Raw genomic sequence first — 18,509 nt, 5'->3', positions numbered from 1 at the left:
GAAAACAAAAGCATGTAGTCATAGCTATACTTATATCAGAAAAAAACAGACTTTGGGTCAAAAAACATAAAAAGAGATGAAGAAGGCCATTCTATAATAATCAAGTAATGAATTCAGCAAGAGGATATGACAATTATAAATATATGTGAACTCAATATCGGAGAACCCAGATATAGATAGTGCATACTATTAGAGCTAAAGAGAGAAAGAGAGAGACACAATACCATAATGGTTGGGGACTTCAACAACCCACTCTTAGCACTGGACAGATTAATCTTGTCAGAAAATCAACAAAGACACAGATTTAATCTGCACTTTAGACCAAATGGACCTAACAGACATTTACAGAACATTTTATCCAACAGCTGCAGAATACACATTATTCTCATCAGCACATGGAACATTATTCAGGATAGACCACACGTTAGGCCACAAAACAACTCTCAACAAATTGAAAAGAAGTGAAATTATATCAAGTATTTCTCAGCCCACAATGGGCTGAGAAAAAAAAAGTGGGCAAAGGATATGAACAGACACTTCTCAAAAGAAGTCATTTATGTGGTCAACAAACATATGAAAAAAAGCTCATCATCACTGGTCATTAGAGAAATGCAAATCAAAACCACAATGAGATACTATCTCACACCAGTTAGAATGGCGATCGTTAAAGTCTGGAAACAAAAGATGCTGGAGAGGATGTGGAGAAATAGGAATGCTTTTACACTGTTGGTGGGAGTGTAAATTAGTTCAACCATTGTGGAAGTCTGTGTGGTGATTCCTCAAGGATCTAGAACCAGAAATCCATTTGACCCAACAATCTCATTACTGGGTATACACCCAAAGGATTATAAATCATTGGCCACCCAGAATCAAAGCCAAAATATCCTACCAAAGCAACACTATAGCTACACCCACAAGAAAAAGTCTTACCCTACCAAAGCCAATCCAAAGGATTATAAATCATTCTACTAGAAAGACACATGCACACATATGTTTACTGCAGCACTATTTACAATAGCAAAGACTTGGAACCACCCCAAATGCCTATCAATGATAGACTGGATAAAGAAAATGTGGCACATATACACCATGGAATACTATGCAGCCATTAAAAAGAATGAGTTCATGTCCTTTTCAGGGACATGGATGAAGCTGGAAACCATCATCCTCAGCAAACTAACACAGGAACAGAAAACCAAACACCACATGTTCTCACTCATAATTGGGAGCTGAACAAATGATAACACATGGACACAGGGAGGGGAACATCACACATTGGGGCCTGTCAGAGGGTGGAGGGAAAGGGGAGGGAGAGCATGAGGACAAATACCTAATGCATGTGAGGCTTAAAACCTAGGTGGTGGGTTGATAGGTGCAGCAAACCACTATGGCACATATTTACCTATGTAACAAACCTGCACGTTCAGCTCATGTATCCCAGAACTTAAAGTAAAAAAAAAATCTCAGCAAAGAGGCCTAGAAGGAACATACCTCAACATAACACAGGCCATATATTACCATCCCACAGCTATCATCATACTGAATGGGAAAAAGCTGAAAGCCTTTCCTCTAAGAACTGGAACAAGACAACGATGCCCATTTTAACCACTCTTATTCAATATGCTACTGAAAATCATAGCCAGAGAAATTAGGCAAGAGAAAGAAAGCAAATGCAGCCAAATTGGAAAAGAGGAAATAAAATCGTCCCCATTTTTAGATGACCTAATCTTATTTATAGAAAAGCATAGAGACTCTACCAAAGAACTCTTCGAGCTGATAAACAAATTCTGTAAAGTTGTGTGATACAAAATCAACATGAAAAATCAATAGCATTTCTATAGACCAATAACAAACTAACTGAAAAAGATATCAAGAAAGCAATCCCATTTATAATGACTACAAAAAATAAAATACATAAGAATAAATTTAACCAAGGAAGTAAGAAAACTCCACAACAAAAACTACAAAACACTTGAAAGAAATTAAAAAGGATATAAACAAATGGAAATTTTATACTTATGAATTAGAAAAATTAATATTGTTAAATGATCATACTACCCAAAGCAATGTATAGAATCAATGCAACCTTTATCAAAATACCAATGATATTCTTCACTGAAATAGATTTTTAAAAAAACCTCCTAAAATTCATATGGAACCACAAGAGACCCCAAATAGCCAAAGCAATAGTGAACGTAAAGAACAAAGCTGGAGCCATCATGCTACCTGAGTTCAAAATATATTACAAAGCTATAATAACCAAAAGAGCATTGTATTGGTACAAAACCAGACATGCAGACCAATGGAACAGACTAGAGAACCCAGAAACATACATACTAGAGAACCCAGAAACATACATAGAACCCAGAAACATACAACTGATTTTCAATAGAGGCACCAAGAACATACATTGGGGAAAGGACACCCTCTTAAATAAACAGTGCTAGGAAAACTGGACATTCATATGCAGAAGAATGATACTAGACTCTTATTTCTTACCTATACAAAAATCAATTAAAATTAAAGACATAGGTGAAATGCTTCAGGAGATTGATTTAGGTAAAGATTTTATGGTTAAGGCTTCATAAGCACATGCAACAAAAGCAGAAATAGGCAAATGAGATTATAGTAAACTAAAAAAGCTCTTCACAACAAAGAAAACAACAGAGTGAAGAGACAACTTGTAGAATGTGAGAAAATGTTTGCGAACTGTTTTCCTGACTATGGGCTAATATCTAGATTATACAGTGAACTCATAAACTCAAACAACTCAACACCAGAAACAAATAATCTGATTAAAAAGTGGGCGAAGGAACTGAATAAACATTTCTCTAAAGAAGATATACAAATGGGCAACAAACATATAAAAAATGCTCAACATCACTAATCATTAGGAAAATGCAAATCAAAACCACAATGAAATATCATCTCACCCTAGTTAGAAATGACTACTATCAAACAAACAAAACATAAGTGCTGGCAAGGATGTGGAATAAAGGTAACTCTTATACACGGTTGGTGAGACTGTAAATTAGTACAGACATTATGGAAAATAGTATGGAGCTATCTCAAAAAACTAAGACTAGAACTAGCATATGAGCCAGCAATCCCAGTATTGGGTACTTAGCTGAAGGAAAGGAAATCAGTATATTGAAGGGATACCTGCATCCCTATATTTATTGCAGCACTATTTACAATAGCTAAGATATGAAAGCAACCTAAATGTCCATCAACAGATGAGTGGATAAAGAAAATATGGTGTATACACACACACATACACACACACGCACACACACACATGCACACACAAGGGAATACTATTCAGCCACAAAAAATGAAATCCTGCCATCTGTGTAGCATAAATGAGCCTATAGGACATTAAGTGAAATAGGCATAGAAAGAGAAATACTGCATGTTCTCACTCATATGTAGGAGCTACAAAAAAATTCAGCTCATGGAAGAAAAGAGTTAGAATTATGGATACTAGAGGCTGGGAAGGGTAGAGGGAGGGGAGCGTGGGGAGAGGTTAGTTAACAGATACAAAATTACAGCTAGATAGGGCAAATGAATTCTGGTGTTCTGAAGCTCTGCAGCATGAATATAGTTAACTATAATTTATTGGATATTTTAAAAAAGCCAGAAGAGGGGATTTTGAAGGTTCAAACACAGAGAAATGATAAATGTTTGAGGTGATGAATATGCCAGTTTCCCTGATTTGATCATTATACATCGTATACATGTATCAAAATGTCACACTGTATCCCATAAATATACACAATTATTACATGTCAACTAAAAATGGAAAAATGATGCTTCATTGAAGGTAAAAATATAACTCATTTGAAGCTAGATCTGACATCCCCAACTCCTCAGAAAAACAAGAACAATAACAGTGTTGTGGATATTTTTGTCTCATTTCTGACTTTAAATGGGAAAGCCTTTGGTGTTTTAGATGGCTATTTCTTATAATGATATGGGATATTTTTATATTTTTCTTTCACTAATATTATCATAAATCAATGTTAAATTTTCTCAAATGTCCTAGAACAACTATAGAGAATATCATGATTTTTTTCTTTTGTGCATTATTGAGGTAGTAGTGTTAATGAAAATTCTATTAAGCCATCCTTGAATTTTTAGCATAGAACTATTTAGACATGAAAACGTATTTAGTGTTGAATTTATGTTGCCAATATTTTAGTTAAAGCAAGTACATTTTTTTCTTTGTTGGCTTTTATAAGGATTATATTAACTTTGAAAAGTAATTTGGGAAGTGTTTCATCATTCTGCAATCTTGGAACATTTAAAATAACACAAGAATTGTTGTTTGAAAGATTTTTTAAGGACTTGCTCATCAAATGCTCTGGACCCAATTCCTTTTTTGGAGATAGTTAATGAAAAATTAAAATGTCTTCCCTAAATGTAAGCTTATTAAAGCTTTCTAATTCTTACTGAATCAATTTTCCCTGAAAATTGTACATTTTATTGATTTCTAATAATTTGTGTCCATGAAGCTAAAAAACGTTCTGTAATTAAACATTTTCTTCCTATCTGTGTTTATATTGTCAAGTATTCGTGTTTCTCTCTCTCTCTTTCTTTCCAGTTAACATGTCATTAGTTTGCATATTTATTGACACTTTTATAGGTGAGATACTGTATTTATTAATCAATTTATCAATTTTGCTGTTTTTCTGCTTATTTAACTTCTGCTTTTATTTTTATTATTTCCTTATATTTCTCTATGATTTGTTTTTGTTTTCTACTTGTTCTGCTGAATATGTAGTTTGTTTTCTTCATTTAGTTTTGTATAAAAATAAAATCTAAGGTTACATTTTTTGTGTGTACAGCTTTGGCCACATTCATTAAGTTTAATTATGAGGTATTGTGTCATTATTTCCTGAATAAATTGCAATCCCTTTTAAATTTTCCTCTTTAACATACTTTTCCTTCCTCAAAGAATTAGTTTTAAGATTATTAACTACCTTTTTTAGAACAGGTAATATTATTAGGTTTTTCAAAAATAAAAAAATAACATGTATAATGAACAATCTCCCACCAATTCTTATTTCCATTTTATCAGTCCCGTTTCCCCCTCTACCATTTAAACGGACAACTTTTTACACTTTTATGTATCCTTCTAAAGTTTTCTTATGTGTATACAAGCAAAAATCCATTCTTTTATCTCCCCCCATCCTTTTTGAAAATCGGCATGCTATACACACTATTCAACATATTTCTTTTTAGAATTTAAAATAGATTTTTAGAAAATTTTCAATATCAGTACACAGAATGTCATCATTTCTTTTCTCTCTTCTTCCTTCTTTTTACAGCTCCTCCTTTTTATAGTAGTCATTAAATGGAGGCATCATAATTTCTAAAAGCAGTTTCCTATTATTAACATTTCAATTGTTTCCATTTTTTCCTATTACAAACTTTGCTGCAATTAATAAGCTTAACATATGTGGAAACAGGAGTTAGCATAAGTTCTGAGTAACAGAACTGCTAGGTCAAATGATTTGTGCATTTGCAATTTTAAAAGATATAGACAAATTCCTTTCTATAAGGACTGTGCCTGTTTGTACTTCCACAAGCAATTATGAAAGTGTCTATACTCTTATTCAATACAACGCGTGGTCAAAGGCTAGAAGTTATGACAATCCAATAGATATAAATGATATTCAGTGTGGCTTTAATTTGTATTTTTTCTTATTATGATTGAAGTTGCATTCTTTTCATTTGTTTAAGAGATACTTTGTTTTTCTCTGAATTATTCACGTTTTCTTGCCATTATTTTCCTATTAGGTTATTGTTTTCTTTCTTTTTTAAGGATCTCTATATATATTAGGAAGATAAGCCATTTGTAAAAATATGTCAGGGTAAAAGATGCAAGATATAGACCCAGCTTTTTTTTATCCAGATCACCTTCCAGTTGTCCTAATGATATTTATTGAATAACCTATCTCCTTCCTTGCTGATTTGAGGTACTACTTTTATTATATTCTAAATTCCCACATGTATTTATTTCTATTATTGTTCTTCCTATTTTGTTGTATTAGTTGGTGTATTCATAGTCAATTTCATACTGCTTTTTTAAATGAGGCATTTATATTTTAATATTTGGTTGGGCTAGTCTTCTAGTTCTTTCTCATTGCTTTTTTAACTCAGAGCTTTCCTAACAATTCTTGTTTGTTAATTTTTACATATGATCTTAAAGATTAACTTGTCTAGTTTCAAAAATAAACAAAGCATATAAATAAAAAACAAAGGTTTGTATTTTTGAATTATAAATTAACTTGGAACTTGGTATCTATGATATAGTCTTGCTTTCTAAGCACATGGTATATGTTTCCATTTCTTCAAACCTTCTTTTGCATCATTTAATAGTTTCAAAAATTTTTTCATAAAGTTGTTGCTATTGCAAAGGGTCCTTTCCTTTCATTATATCCCATTACATCTTATGGATAATAAAACTATGGATTTGCATATATTTGTACTCTATAACCTTATTATCTTAATTTCAAAGTCAGCTTTCAGTTTATTGTTTTGGATGTGTGTGACAGATTGTAGTTTCCAAATCTAGCCACCAATATTTCATAATCACATATATTCTTTTTACAATGTAACATTGATAGTTTCTCATCAAGACATGGGGATCTACATTCCCTTACTTTGAATTTAGGTCAGACTATGACTGCAGCAGAAGTGATACTATGTGACTTCTGACTCTAAGTTATATTAAATAAAAACTTTTCATCTGGGCCTGCTAAGATCCTGGCACCACATTGTGATAAAGCCAAGCAACCACATGGAAAAGGCACACAGTCACATGGAGTGAAGCCAAGAGGCAATGTGGAGAGGCCACATATAGTTGTTCCAGTCACAGCCTTAGCTGAGGCCTCAGTCAACCACCAGCAGCAATCACTGGGCATATAAGTGAGCAAAACTTCAGAGGATTCTTGCCACCAGCCTTCAAGTCACCCCAGCAGATAACCAGTGGCACACAGACAAGCTCAGGCTGCCAAGTCCTGCCCAAGTTGCAGATTCATTTGCAAATAAATATTCTAAACAACTAAGTTTTGAGATGGTTTTTGGCAGTAATAGATGCGGATCACAAGGTCAGGAGTTTGAGACCAGCCTTGCCAACATAGTGAAACCCCATCTCTACTAAAAATACAGAAAATTAGCTGAATGTGGTGGTGGGCGCCTGTAATCCCAGCTACTTGGCAGGCTGAGGCAGGAGAATGGCTTGAACCTGGGAGGCGGAGGTTGCAGTGAGCCGAGATGGCACCGCTGCACTCCAGCCTGGGCAACAGTGCGAGACTCTGTCTCAAAAAAAAAAAAAAAAAATCATTCATCAGCAAATTGTAATGATTTTAGATTTTTTGTTATAATTTTTATAACTCAATTTTTCTCTGGTTGTGATCTAGAGATAAGAACAGCACACTCAATGCGACATATGCTTCCTTCAAAATCTAATAAGACATACCAAGCAATGTGCTTCTTTCATAGTAGTAATGCACGCAAAATGAAATAATTTGATTTTACTTCAGAGGGCATATATTGATATGTCTCATTCAGATCACTGCAGCCCTAGAAACTTCACAAAGGTAGATGGCCCAATTTTTTTAAGGGGGCTGTTTATCTATTACCCTCTGGCATGCCTGTGTCTTCTCAAGTTATCTAGGTTACTTGCTGAATTCTTCTAGCAGTGTGATATAATCAATGTAATAGAAACTTGATTTCCCATGGGACAGTTAGACAAACAAGGTCACTGTGGACTAAATCATGATATAAAGCCATGATTGAAATAACCTTGAGAAGGCAATCCTAAACAAAAAGAATAAAGCCAGAAGCATCATGCTACCTGACTTCAAACTATACCACAGGGCTGCAGTAACCAAAATAGCACAGTACTGAACAAAAACAGGCACATAGACCAATGGAACAGAATAGAGAATGCAGAAGTAAGACCACATGCCTGCAACTATCTGAGCTTTGACAAACCTGACAAAAAAACAAGCAATGGGGAAAGGATTTTCTATTCAATAAATGGTGCTGGGATTACTGGCAAGCCATATGCAGGAGACGAAACCAGACCTCTTCCTTACACTATATATAAAAATTAACTCAAGATGGACTAAAGACTTAAATGAAAAACCCAAAACTATAAAAACCCTGGAAGACAACTGACGCAATACCATCCTGGGCATAGGATTGGGCAAAGATTTCATGATGAATACACCAAAAGCAATTGCAACAGAAGTAAAAACTGACAAATGGGATCAAATTAAACTAAAGAGCTTCTGCACAGCAAAGGAAACTATCAACAGACTGGGCAGACAACCTAGAGAATTGGAGAAAACATTTGCAAACTCTACATCTGACAAAGGTCTAATATCCAGCATCTATAAGGAACTTAAATAAATTTATCAGAAGCAAACAACCCCATTAAAAAGTGGTCAAAGTACATGAACAGACATTTTTCAAAAGAAGACATACATTTGGTCAACAATCATGAAAAAAAGCTCAACATCACAGATCATTAGAGAAATGCAAATCAAAGCCACAGTGAGATAGATACCATTTCACACCAGTCAGAATGGGTATTATTAAAAAGTCAAAAAAATAACAGATGCTGATGAGGTTGTGGAGAAACAGGAACGCTTCTACACTGTTGGTGGGAATGTAAATTAGTTCCAGTATTGCAGAAGACAGTGCGGCGATTCCTCAAAGGCCTAAAAACAGAAATACTATTTGACCCAGCAATTCCATTACTGGGTATATAACCAAAGGAATAGAAATCATTCTATTATAAAGACACATGCATGCATATGTTCACTGCAGCCCTATTCACAATAGCAAAGACATGGACTCAACATAAATGCCCATCAATAGTAGACTAGATAAAGAAAATGTGGTACATATACACCATGAAATACTATGCGGCCATAAAAAAAGAATGAGATCATGTCTTTTGCAGGAACAGGGATGAAGCCGGAGGCCATTATCCTTAGCAAACTAATAAAGGAACAGAAAATCAAATAGTGCATGCTCTCACTTATAAATGGGAGCTAAATGATGAGAACACATGGACACATAGAGGGGAACAACATATACTGGAGCCATTCAGAAGGTGGAGAGTGGGAGGAGGGAGAGGATCATTTTATATTTGTTGTTTATTTATTAAAAACAACTAATAGGTACTAGTCTTAATACCTGGGTGACAAAATAATCCATAGAACAAGCCCCCATGACACAAGTTTACCTATATAACAAACCTGTACATTTATTTCTGAACTTAAAAGTTAAATTAAAAATATTTATAACACATGCACACACACACACATACACAAACACACAAAGAAATAGCCTTGAGAAAATATAGTGAGGGCATTCTGCTATCCTTGCAAGGTAAAAGGAATGTATTTTTATTTTTATTTTTTTATTTTTTACGAACTAGATGTAAACCTTTACGTCACAACTATGTCATTTTCACTTTCTGAAAAGACACGGACCCGGGGACACAGCTGAAAACAGTGGGAGGCCAGATGCTGGCGTCTTCCAGGCGGGAACGTAGCCATGATCACTCTAGGGCCGATGTCTCCTGGGGCTCTCCGGCAGGACAAGACAGGTGCACCGGTACTGTGCAATCCCAGTTTTACTTAGAGCCACCTCTTGTTTGGGGGGGCATTAGTCCTCATTTCATGCCAGATTTTCACTAGAGGCTCCCTGTTCTTCCAAATCAGTTCATGAGGGTAAGTAACATACCATATTCCAAAGAGAGCTCCCCCAAGATGTGCTGCATAATCAAAAAATTTCCGTCCCAGGATCATTCCTGCCATATCCGTGGCGTTAATGGATTGTAGGGCATTTCCTGCTGTGAATGTGAACATTGGAAGTAAATAATGGCAAGCCTCCCTTCTGGGATCTTAGTGCGGACAGCTGCGAGGATCATCATGATGGCGCGAGATGCACCAAGTGATGGTCCATATCTTCGTGTGGCAACTTTACACACATAACTGACAAAATTGGAAATAACACCTGCAGATAGGTACACTGCCATGAACTGCTCTTGACCCAGAATGTTCACTATACTGAAGGAGAAGCTCCACAAAACATACATATTTGCTGCCATGTGAAATAAGGAGAAATGATTGAATGTTGACAGCAACATTGGAGAACAACGGACTTTTGAGGCTGGATTAGATTTGAAATATCAGATCACTGTCCACTGCAGAGAAGGTACTCTCCACAAACAGAATACAAGGACGTTTGCAGCTATGATACCTGAGTCCGCTGGCCATCACTTAGGTTATTCCACCGCTTGTTAATCTCCTTTCTGAAGTCTCCTTCTTTTTGTGGTCTTATGCTATCCAACCAATCAGCTTTTATGCCATCAAAATAACTCTGGACCCCTGGATTTCAGTGATTCGTATTGCCAAATAGCAGCTGATCCAAATGCACAGCCTGTAAACCCAACAGTAAAAAAATAAAGGTTTTATGAGAGTCCTTATAGGATAGGGAGAAAGATAAAAGACTGTTTCTTCCACCAGAGGAATCAAAGCACTTCTCTTGTATGCTTCACCACTTGTTGCCGTGTCTGATCTTCGAGGTTCAACCTTACTGGGTTCTTTTCTGAACCACATTTTTTTCTGAATAAAGAAGTTAAACCTGCGTCTAAGCAGCTGCGGCGGGGCTAGAACCGCAGTGAGCTCCTCGCAGCTGCTGCTGCGCACCAGGGGAGCCCACGCTGAGCCGCAGCCCCAGCCTCTCTGCGCCCAGCCTCGCCACCCCATTTTCCCACTACAAGAAAATTTTAGGACGGGCGCAATGGCTCACGCCTGTAATCCCAGTACTTTGAGAGGCCAAGGCGGGTGATCACCTAAGGTCGGGAGTTTGAGACCAGCCTGACCAACATGGAGAAACCCGTCTCTACGAAAAGTACAAAATTAGCAGGGCTTGGTGGTGCATGCCTGCAATCCCAGCTACTTGGGAGGTTGAGGCAGGAGAATCGTTTGAACCAGGGAGGCGGAGATTGCAGGGAGCTGAGATGGTGCCATTGCACTCCAGCCTGGGAAACAAGAGCAAAACTCCGTTTCAAAAACAAAAAAAAATTTTTTAGTACCTTCATTCGATATCCCAGGGATTATATTGTTTTACTCCAGCAAAAAGACTTCTGGAAACACTGCTATCAGTGGAGCCACCGCCTAAGTAAGCTTACAATAATTTATCATCCTCCAAAATTCATCCATCGTTTGTACACAGTTCGTATTAATTTGCTGTTACTGACATAGCAAAATGTCAGTCCACTGACTGGTGGCTTAAACAATATTAATTTATTTTCTCAAAGTTCTGGTGGCTAGAAGTCCAAGATCAAGGTGTCAGCAGGTTTGGTTCCTCTGAGTCCTCTCTCCTTGGCTTGCAGTTGGCAACCTTCTTCCCATGCCCTCACATGGTCTTTCCTCTGTGTATGTACATTCCTGGTGTCCCTTTGTGTGTCCTAATTCCCCCTTTTTACAAAGATACTACTCAGATTGGATTAGGGCCCATTTTAATGGCCTCATTTTAACTTAATCCCCTCTTTAAAGGCCCTGTCTCCAAAAACAGTCATATTCTAAGGCACTAGGGGTTACGGGTTCAACATATAAATTTTAGGGGGACACAGTGCCACAATGTAACCCATAATAGAGGTCAGACAGGTAAGATACATGTAGTTGTGATGGAAACCAACTCTGGATCCTTCAAGTCTTTGATCCTGTACTAACTGCAGCAGTCATTCCAAGGATGTGGTATTGCTGTGCTTTTCTGTTTTGGTGGATTTCTGCTTGACTTTCCTACTTAAAAGTCCCAGCTCCATGAGTTAGGAAACTAATATGGTAATGCTGCTAGATGCATTCTATATTTCTATCAATTTTGCTTTCAGAAATGGGGGGCATATAGAGTGAATGTGTGTGGGAGAAAGAGAGAGACAGAGAGACGGAAGGAAGAGAGATTTTTAGCATTTAATTACATTTAAATGTAACTAATTTTAAATTAACTTTTTGAGTTTAAATTTTTTTCAAATTAAAAAGTTTAATGCTTTTCATTTTTTAATTTTAAAATGTAATTATAATTTTGGAGTGAATGGTTTTATATCATTTGTTGATCTCTCTCAACATTGGGCAATCAATACTTATATTTGTGTTAAGTAACATTTTATAATTTATATAACATATTTTTCATCTTAAAAATAATTACGGTCAAAGATTTTGTAAAATAGTTTTTTTAAAAACAATTTTGTGGCTGGGCGCGGTGGTTCATGTCTGTAATCCCAGCACTTTGGGAGGCCGAGGCGTGTGGATCACAAGGTCAGGAGATCGAGACCATCCTGGCTAACAAGGTGAAACCCCGTCTCTACTAAAAATACAAAAAATAAGCCGGGCGTGTGGCAGGCGCCTGTAGTCCCAGCTACTCGGGAGGCTGAGAAGGCAGGAGAATGGCATGAACCCGGGAAGCGGAGCTTGCCGTGAGCTGAGATCACGCCACTGTACTCCAGCCTGGGCGACAGAGTGAGACTCCATCTGGAAAAAAAGAAAAAAAAAATTTGTTTTGGAGTTATCAAAAAGATTCACATTTTTTAAAATCCAAAAATTATAGGAAAGAACCAGGTTCAGTAAACCCATTTTCAACAGGTAATAAAAATGAAAAGGAGATACTAATGCTGTTAGGATTTTGAGATGCACAATGCAGACGTCAGGTTCAGGGTGGCTTTGTCTTTATTAGTCAGCATTTGCATCTAGGAAAAGTTTCACATGATTAAATCAAGAGATGCAATACACTCAGGCTTTTCATGAAATTGACATCATTATTACAAATGGTGCTCATTTGAGGCAACTGTGACATTATGCAATGAGAAACATCTGTCCCCTTCCCTCTCAGGTCCCCATGGTGGCCTAGGTTCATGATTACAGCCACCTTTAGGATTAAATACACAAAAGCCTTACTCTATATATGCCCCTTTGACTTTAACATATTTCTCAAAAAGAAGTGCAATAAACTTTTATTCTTTCTTGATTAGATGGAGTTACAATTGCCAAAATAAAAATCCAAGGTCCAATTCTGGTTTTAAAACTAGAAAAGGAAAAAATGTTATTATCAGTAATGACTTTGGGAAGAATTCTTTAACACACAGTGAGGGTGAGTTCTTTTGGAAACAACTGTATTCTATGTTTATACATATTTATATATAAAAGGTGTCCTCATTGGGGGAGGGGGGTGCTGATGCCACCAAGTTCCTTTGAAGCCTTTTCTCCCCCACTGCCAATGCCCGAGGGGAAGGAGTCTTCAATGGCGGCTCAATCTAGCTCTTGCGTTTAGACTTGGATCTCATTCCAATTTAGGCTTTTCTTTCTCTTCTTCCATACCTAGAAATACAGGCAAAGTGTTTTATTTGAGCATCAGATTAAACCACAAGCAGTTTGTTTAATCTGGCTTGCTAACACTACTCACACATCCACTCATCTGCCCTCACTTCTCCCATTCACCCTCCTGACACACCCCCTATTCCCTCCTAGCTAAGAAGGAAAGCCATGCACAACTTTCTCCAGAAACATCCTCAGTGACCTCTCTTCCCCACCCTTTCCACAGAATCAGGACACAGCATCTCTGGGACACACCCAGCTCCTATGGCCTCTGGGAGACAAGGCTTCAAGTTGATTCATGACTTGCTGAGTTTGCATGGAAATCCCAGCTAGACTGCTTTTTAAACCAGCTTCTGGCAACATGAGGTGTGCAACTCATGAGTTTCAAACAGACTTCATTTATTTTTACTTTAGTCCTGTCTCTTCCTAAGGCAAGGACTTTGGATTTTAAAAAGCCATGCTTTTTTTTTTCTTGTTTTCTTTTTAAAGTTCATAGAGAGTTTATTAGCCATAAGAGCTGTTTATTTCCATACTCATGAATCTTAAACTGCAATTCTCTCTCTATTCAACCCAATCCTGGTAGAATCATGTTTTTCTTCCTGAAGGACTTGTATGTACTGGACCAGTAAGAACCTTTGCCTGTTGTCTGTAGAGAATAGTCGATGATGTTTCATGTTCCTGAAGATGAAAATGTTCATCATTTTTAGGAATTATAGTTAAATCTGGCAAGTGCTTCTTGCTTTTTTCTTTTTCTTGTACCTAAACATTTTTTGAATCATACCAAATTCTCAGTTTCTTTGTTTCAATAGCAAAAATGAAACAAAATAACTTAAAATACCACTTTGCAGGTTTTGTTAGTATTCTTTCATAAATTGCAAGCTTTCTGAGGGTAGGGCCCTTCCCTATTTTGTTCCCCAGCACCTAACATAGTGTGTGTGTCTCATTGCAGGAGCTCAATTAATCTTTGCTGAATAAAATTAATAAGCAATGAACACAGAGAAGACCTCAGAAGCCTGGACTAGTGGAAAGCAGAACAAAATATGGGACTCCACAATATGAAAATTATAAAATTTAACCCCAGAGGGTCATAATGTTAGGGCTTACAATAGGAAGGACTCCCCCACCACATAACCCCAGCTCCTGGTATATGTTTTGTGCTGTCAGAGTAGTGGTGGTGGAATGTGGGTAACGTGCTCTGAATGAATGTCCCCAGATGATCTTTTATGTTTGGTTTTCATGGCTAAGGAACTGGCAGAGATCTGGAGCACTTTTTCCAAAGTCCTTCTCAGAAATCCTATGAAGGAAAACTTCAAATTGAGGAGTAAGGACATCTGACGGGAGGAGGAACAGGTTTGAAGGCAAGAAGGTACAACACGCCTTCGTTGTTGGGTAACCACGGAAAGAAGAAAACAGCACAGATTCAGCTCAAACAGCACATGTGTCTTGAACCTCAGCTCTGTCCATATTCCCTCTCCTGTGGAGAAGCTATCAGGGGCTAAGAGCAGTTTGCTTTTCTTTTTAAAGTCTGTTTTTTCCAAAGCGTTCTCCTGCAGATGGGTTGACTTGGCAGCAGTGCTGGAATCTTCAAAAGCGCGGGTGGAGAACGGGGGGTATTCATTGACCTAGAGAGGGAAAATGGCTTCCCACCTACTTTAGTTTGGCAGCTGTGAGGTAGACAGAAAAAATTAGACAGCTGTAAATAATGTTTGCAAGAACCAGAGATAAAATTTCCAGGCAAAGGGCAGGAAGAAACCTATCGCAAAGCGAAGGCAGGATACACTTTTGGGACCAGAGGGGACAAGACTGCAGGGCGCTGAGGGAGTCAGTCACATGCCCTTCCTGCAGGCCGGTGGAGGGCTCCACCAGGGGGCAGTGCTGGGACATCGCTAGACCTGGATGGGCCTGGGGGGAAATGACCTGCACGGGTAGCTGGAGGAGAAGAGGTGCAGGTTTCTGCACACATAGACGTCTCCTGTCTCCCCGCTTGCCTACTTTCTCTGTCCTCACACCAACCTTTTGGTTTTGAAAAGACTCATTTCTGGTCTTACAAAATGTAGCTTTAGTAAGACTGGTCAGATATACCAAAATTGGGATAAAGTCTTAGCTTAAGTAAAGAAATATTTCAGCTGTGAATTGTGTCCCCCCCCGCGCTCCACCCCGCCAAACTGCTACATCGAAGTGCTTAACTCTCAGTACCTCAGATTGGGAGAGAATGCCAAGGGTGTGGCTGGACAGCCATGTGCTAACGAAATTAGGTACGTGACTCACGGATCCAATCAACCTCCACAGTAGATGCCAGAAATAGAGAGGTGGTTATCTGAAAAAGATCCGCGGAGTGCCCTCTTGTCTGACTGCTTGGACCCCCATGACTTGCATGGGAGGCCAATAAGGTTTTTGAGAATTTTATACCAGCAGAAACATTGACAGCATGGACTGAAAGGGACAGAGACAGGATGAAATGAAGGACCAATGGCTTCAAAGATGGTTCAGCGACTGGCTCCTCCTTGGTTGTAGAGGGTAGAACTATTGCCCAGGGCTGTGGGGGTGGGGCTCCTGTGACCCTGTGCCTGGAAGGCAGGGCTATGCATCCCCTCCCCTGTGAGCCCTGAGGACAGAACATCTAGCCAAAGAGGATTATTTTCAAGCCTTAAAATGGAATGGAATTTCCCCCGCTAGCTTCAGACTTGCTTGGGAACCATGATTCTTTCTTTTTTTTTCCCCCTGCAACTTCTCCCTTACAGAATGGGAATGTATATTCTATGCCTGTCCCACCATTCTGTTTTGGAAGCAGATAACTTTTTGTCTGGTTTCCCAGGTTCACACACAGCTAGAGAACAATTTTGCTTCAGGATGACTCATACCCTGAGTGTCACGCATACCCAATTTTATGATATTTAAGATGAGATTTTGGACTTGAGAGTTGATGTCTGAAAGACGTTTGGGGTTGTTGGGATGGAATATTTTCATTGGGTGAAGGACATGTATTCTGGTGGGGAGAGAGTGAAGTATTATGAGCTGAACTCTGTCCCCCACTTCCAAATTCATATGCTGAAATCCTAACCCCCAGGATGTGGTTTTAAAGTCAGAATGTGACTTTACTTGGAGATAAGTATTTACAAATGAGGTCATCAGGGTGGGCCCTAATCAAATACAACTGGTATTCTTATACAAAGGGGAAATTTGGAGACTGGACTGAACATCAGTTAGAAGGCACTGGCTCTGCCATCACCTGTTCTGGAGGGTCACTTAAGATTTTGGGGCCTCAGTTACTTTTGGTGAAAGGAAAGGGTCGGTTTCGATGATTTCCAATCTCTCTTTCAGCAGTAAGATTCTGCAATAATGTGATTTTTATCTTGAAGTTGTAGCTAACATAAGTTACCCAAGTAGACAGAGTTGAGCTATTAAAAACCATTATGGAAAAAGGAGGGTGGCTCCAATGCAATCTTCCTTCTTCTTGGGGGATTGTATAGTAACTGATGTGAAATACTCAGGATTGTAGTACTGTACTCCCATGTCCTCAATTCATCCTAACACACTGCTTTTAGTGAGTAGTTTTTGACTCAACAGCTAACAGAATCAGGCAGCTAATGTGACTGAGTAAAGTGGCCAGGTGAGAACGAGGGAAAGTTAGTCATCTAAAGTGGATAACTGATACTCAATTCTTTTTTCTTTTCTTTCTGTTTTTTTTTTTTTTTTCTGAGAGTTTCACTCTGTGGCTCAGGATGGAGTGTGGTGGCACGATCTTGGCTCACTGCAACCTCTGCCTCCAGGTTGAAGCGATTCTCGTGCCTTAGCCTCCCAAGTAGCTGAGATTACAGGCATGTACGCCCGGCTCATTTTTGTATGTTTAGTAGAGATGGAGTTTTGCAATGTTGGCCAGACTGGTCTTGAACTCCTGGGCTCAAGTGATCTGCCCACCTTAGCCTCCCAAAGTTCTGAGATTACAGGTGTAAGCCACCGTGCCCAGCCAAGGGATAACTGATACTCTATTCTAAACCATTGTCACCAGAATAGAACAGTGGGCTCTGTGTTCCAGATCTTAAAATATTTCCTAAGAAGCTGAAAATCTGGCCTTCATGTGAAATCTCCTATTTTTTTTTTTTTTTTTTTTGAGATGGAGTCTTGTTCTGTTGCCAGGCTGGGGTGCAGTGGCATGATCTCAGCTCACTGCAACCTCTGCCTCCTGGGTTCAAGCAGTTCTCCTGCCTCAGCCTCCCGAGTACCTGGGACTACAGGCACACGCCACCATGCCTGGCTAATTTTTGTATTTTTAGTAGAGATGGGATTTCACCATGTTGGCCAGGATGGTCTCCATCTCTTGACCTCGTGATCCACCTGCCTCAGTCTCCCAAAGTGCCGGGATTACAGGCATGAGCCACTGCGCCCAGCCAAAATCACCCAATTTTAAAATACTGATTCAAAAACAAAAATTCCACGATGTAGGCCTAACAGAACTTGATAGGTAGAAGTTGGGGGAGGCCAGCAGTTTGTGACCCCTCTTGTAAATGAGGATGATACTTACTTGGCACAAAACATCTGTCTTTGTGGAACTAACTAGATGGTCCTAGGTACATAAACTTAATTTTCATATCTAAAATGAATTTTTAAAAAAAGTTAGTCAATCTTATGTTACTTAAAAGAATGGCATAAATTAAACAAATCATTCAAAAAACCTTAATTTCATTATTCATTTTTAACTCCTCATTCAAAGCTGCTAAAAAGCAGTATTCTATTAATGTAGAGTGGATATTTCTCTCTAGTGGTTTTCAGGTCATCCTCTCATAGAAGTAGTAGAACTGTGGCCAAATGACTGTCAAATCAATCAAGTCAAGTGTAAGCAGGTACTTAAGTACTTCCTGAATAACATATATTGGACACATTCGTTTAAGTTTAAATACAGTTTTTCTTCCAAGAAGCTGAGAAAGGTTTATATTTTGTTCTCAAAATATTTTTGTCAAGTAACTAAATACTTCTGTAAATTAATGGAGAAAGATCACTATTTCCATTGAACAGGTGGAACATTATTAAAAGATTAGTGTCTTGTTCCCCAAGCTGTGGCCTGAACAGAATTAAAAATGTTGATACTTTTTCTAATAGAACATTGATTAA

The 18,509-nt window shown here is 38.2% G+C and overlaps 1 protein-coding gene and 1 pseudogene across 19 annotated transcripts in view; both read right to left on the bottom strand.

Annotated features, from left to right (window-relative positions):
* Positions 1–9,158: 9,158 nt before the first annotated feature.
* Positions 9,159–18,509, bottom strand: part of AIG1 (androgen induced 1) — a 284,671-nt gene continuing 275,320 nt past the window's right edge. For 13 of the 19 annotated variants that reach the window (NR_158896.1, NR_158960.1, NM_001286587.2 and 10 more), the window contains one exon: positions 11,984–13,403. Coding sequence is in view for 17 of the 19 variants with exons in the window: in NM_001286587.2 (NP_001273516.1) it covers positions 13,366–13,403 (38 nt within the window). In the remaining 2 variants the exon portion in view is untranslated. Of the gene's footprint in view, positions 10,468–11,983; positions 15,065–17,922; positions 17,992–18,509 lie in introns of those variants that run through there. The other 6 variants (NM_001366347.1, NM_001366361.1, NM_001366349.2 and 3 more) reach the window with 5 other exon arrangements.
* PARLP2 (PARL pseudogene 2) lies at positions 9,465–10,803 on the bottom strand (annotated as a pseudogene).

This window comes from Homo sapiens, chromosome 6 (assembly GCF_000001405.40).
Source record: "Homo sapiens chromosome 6, GRCh38.p14 Primary Assembly".
Lineage (NCBI taxonomy): Eukaryota > Metazoa > Chordata > Mammalia > Primates > Hominidae > Homo > Homo sapiens.
This window is presented reverse-complemented; position numbering and strand designations above follow the sequence as displayed.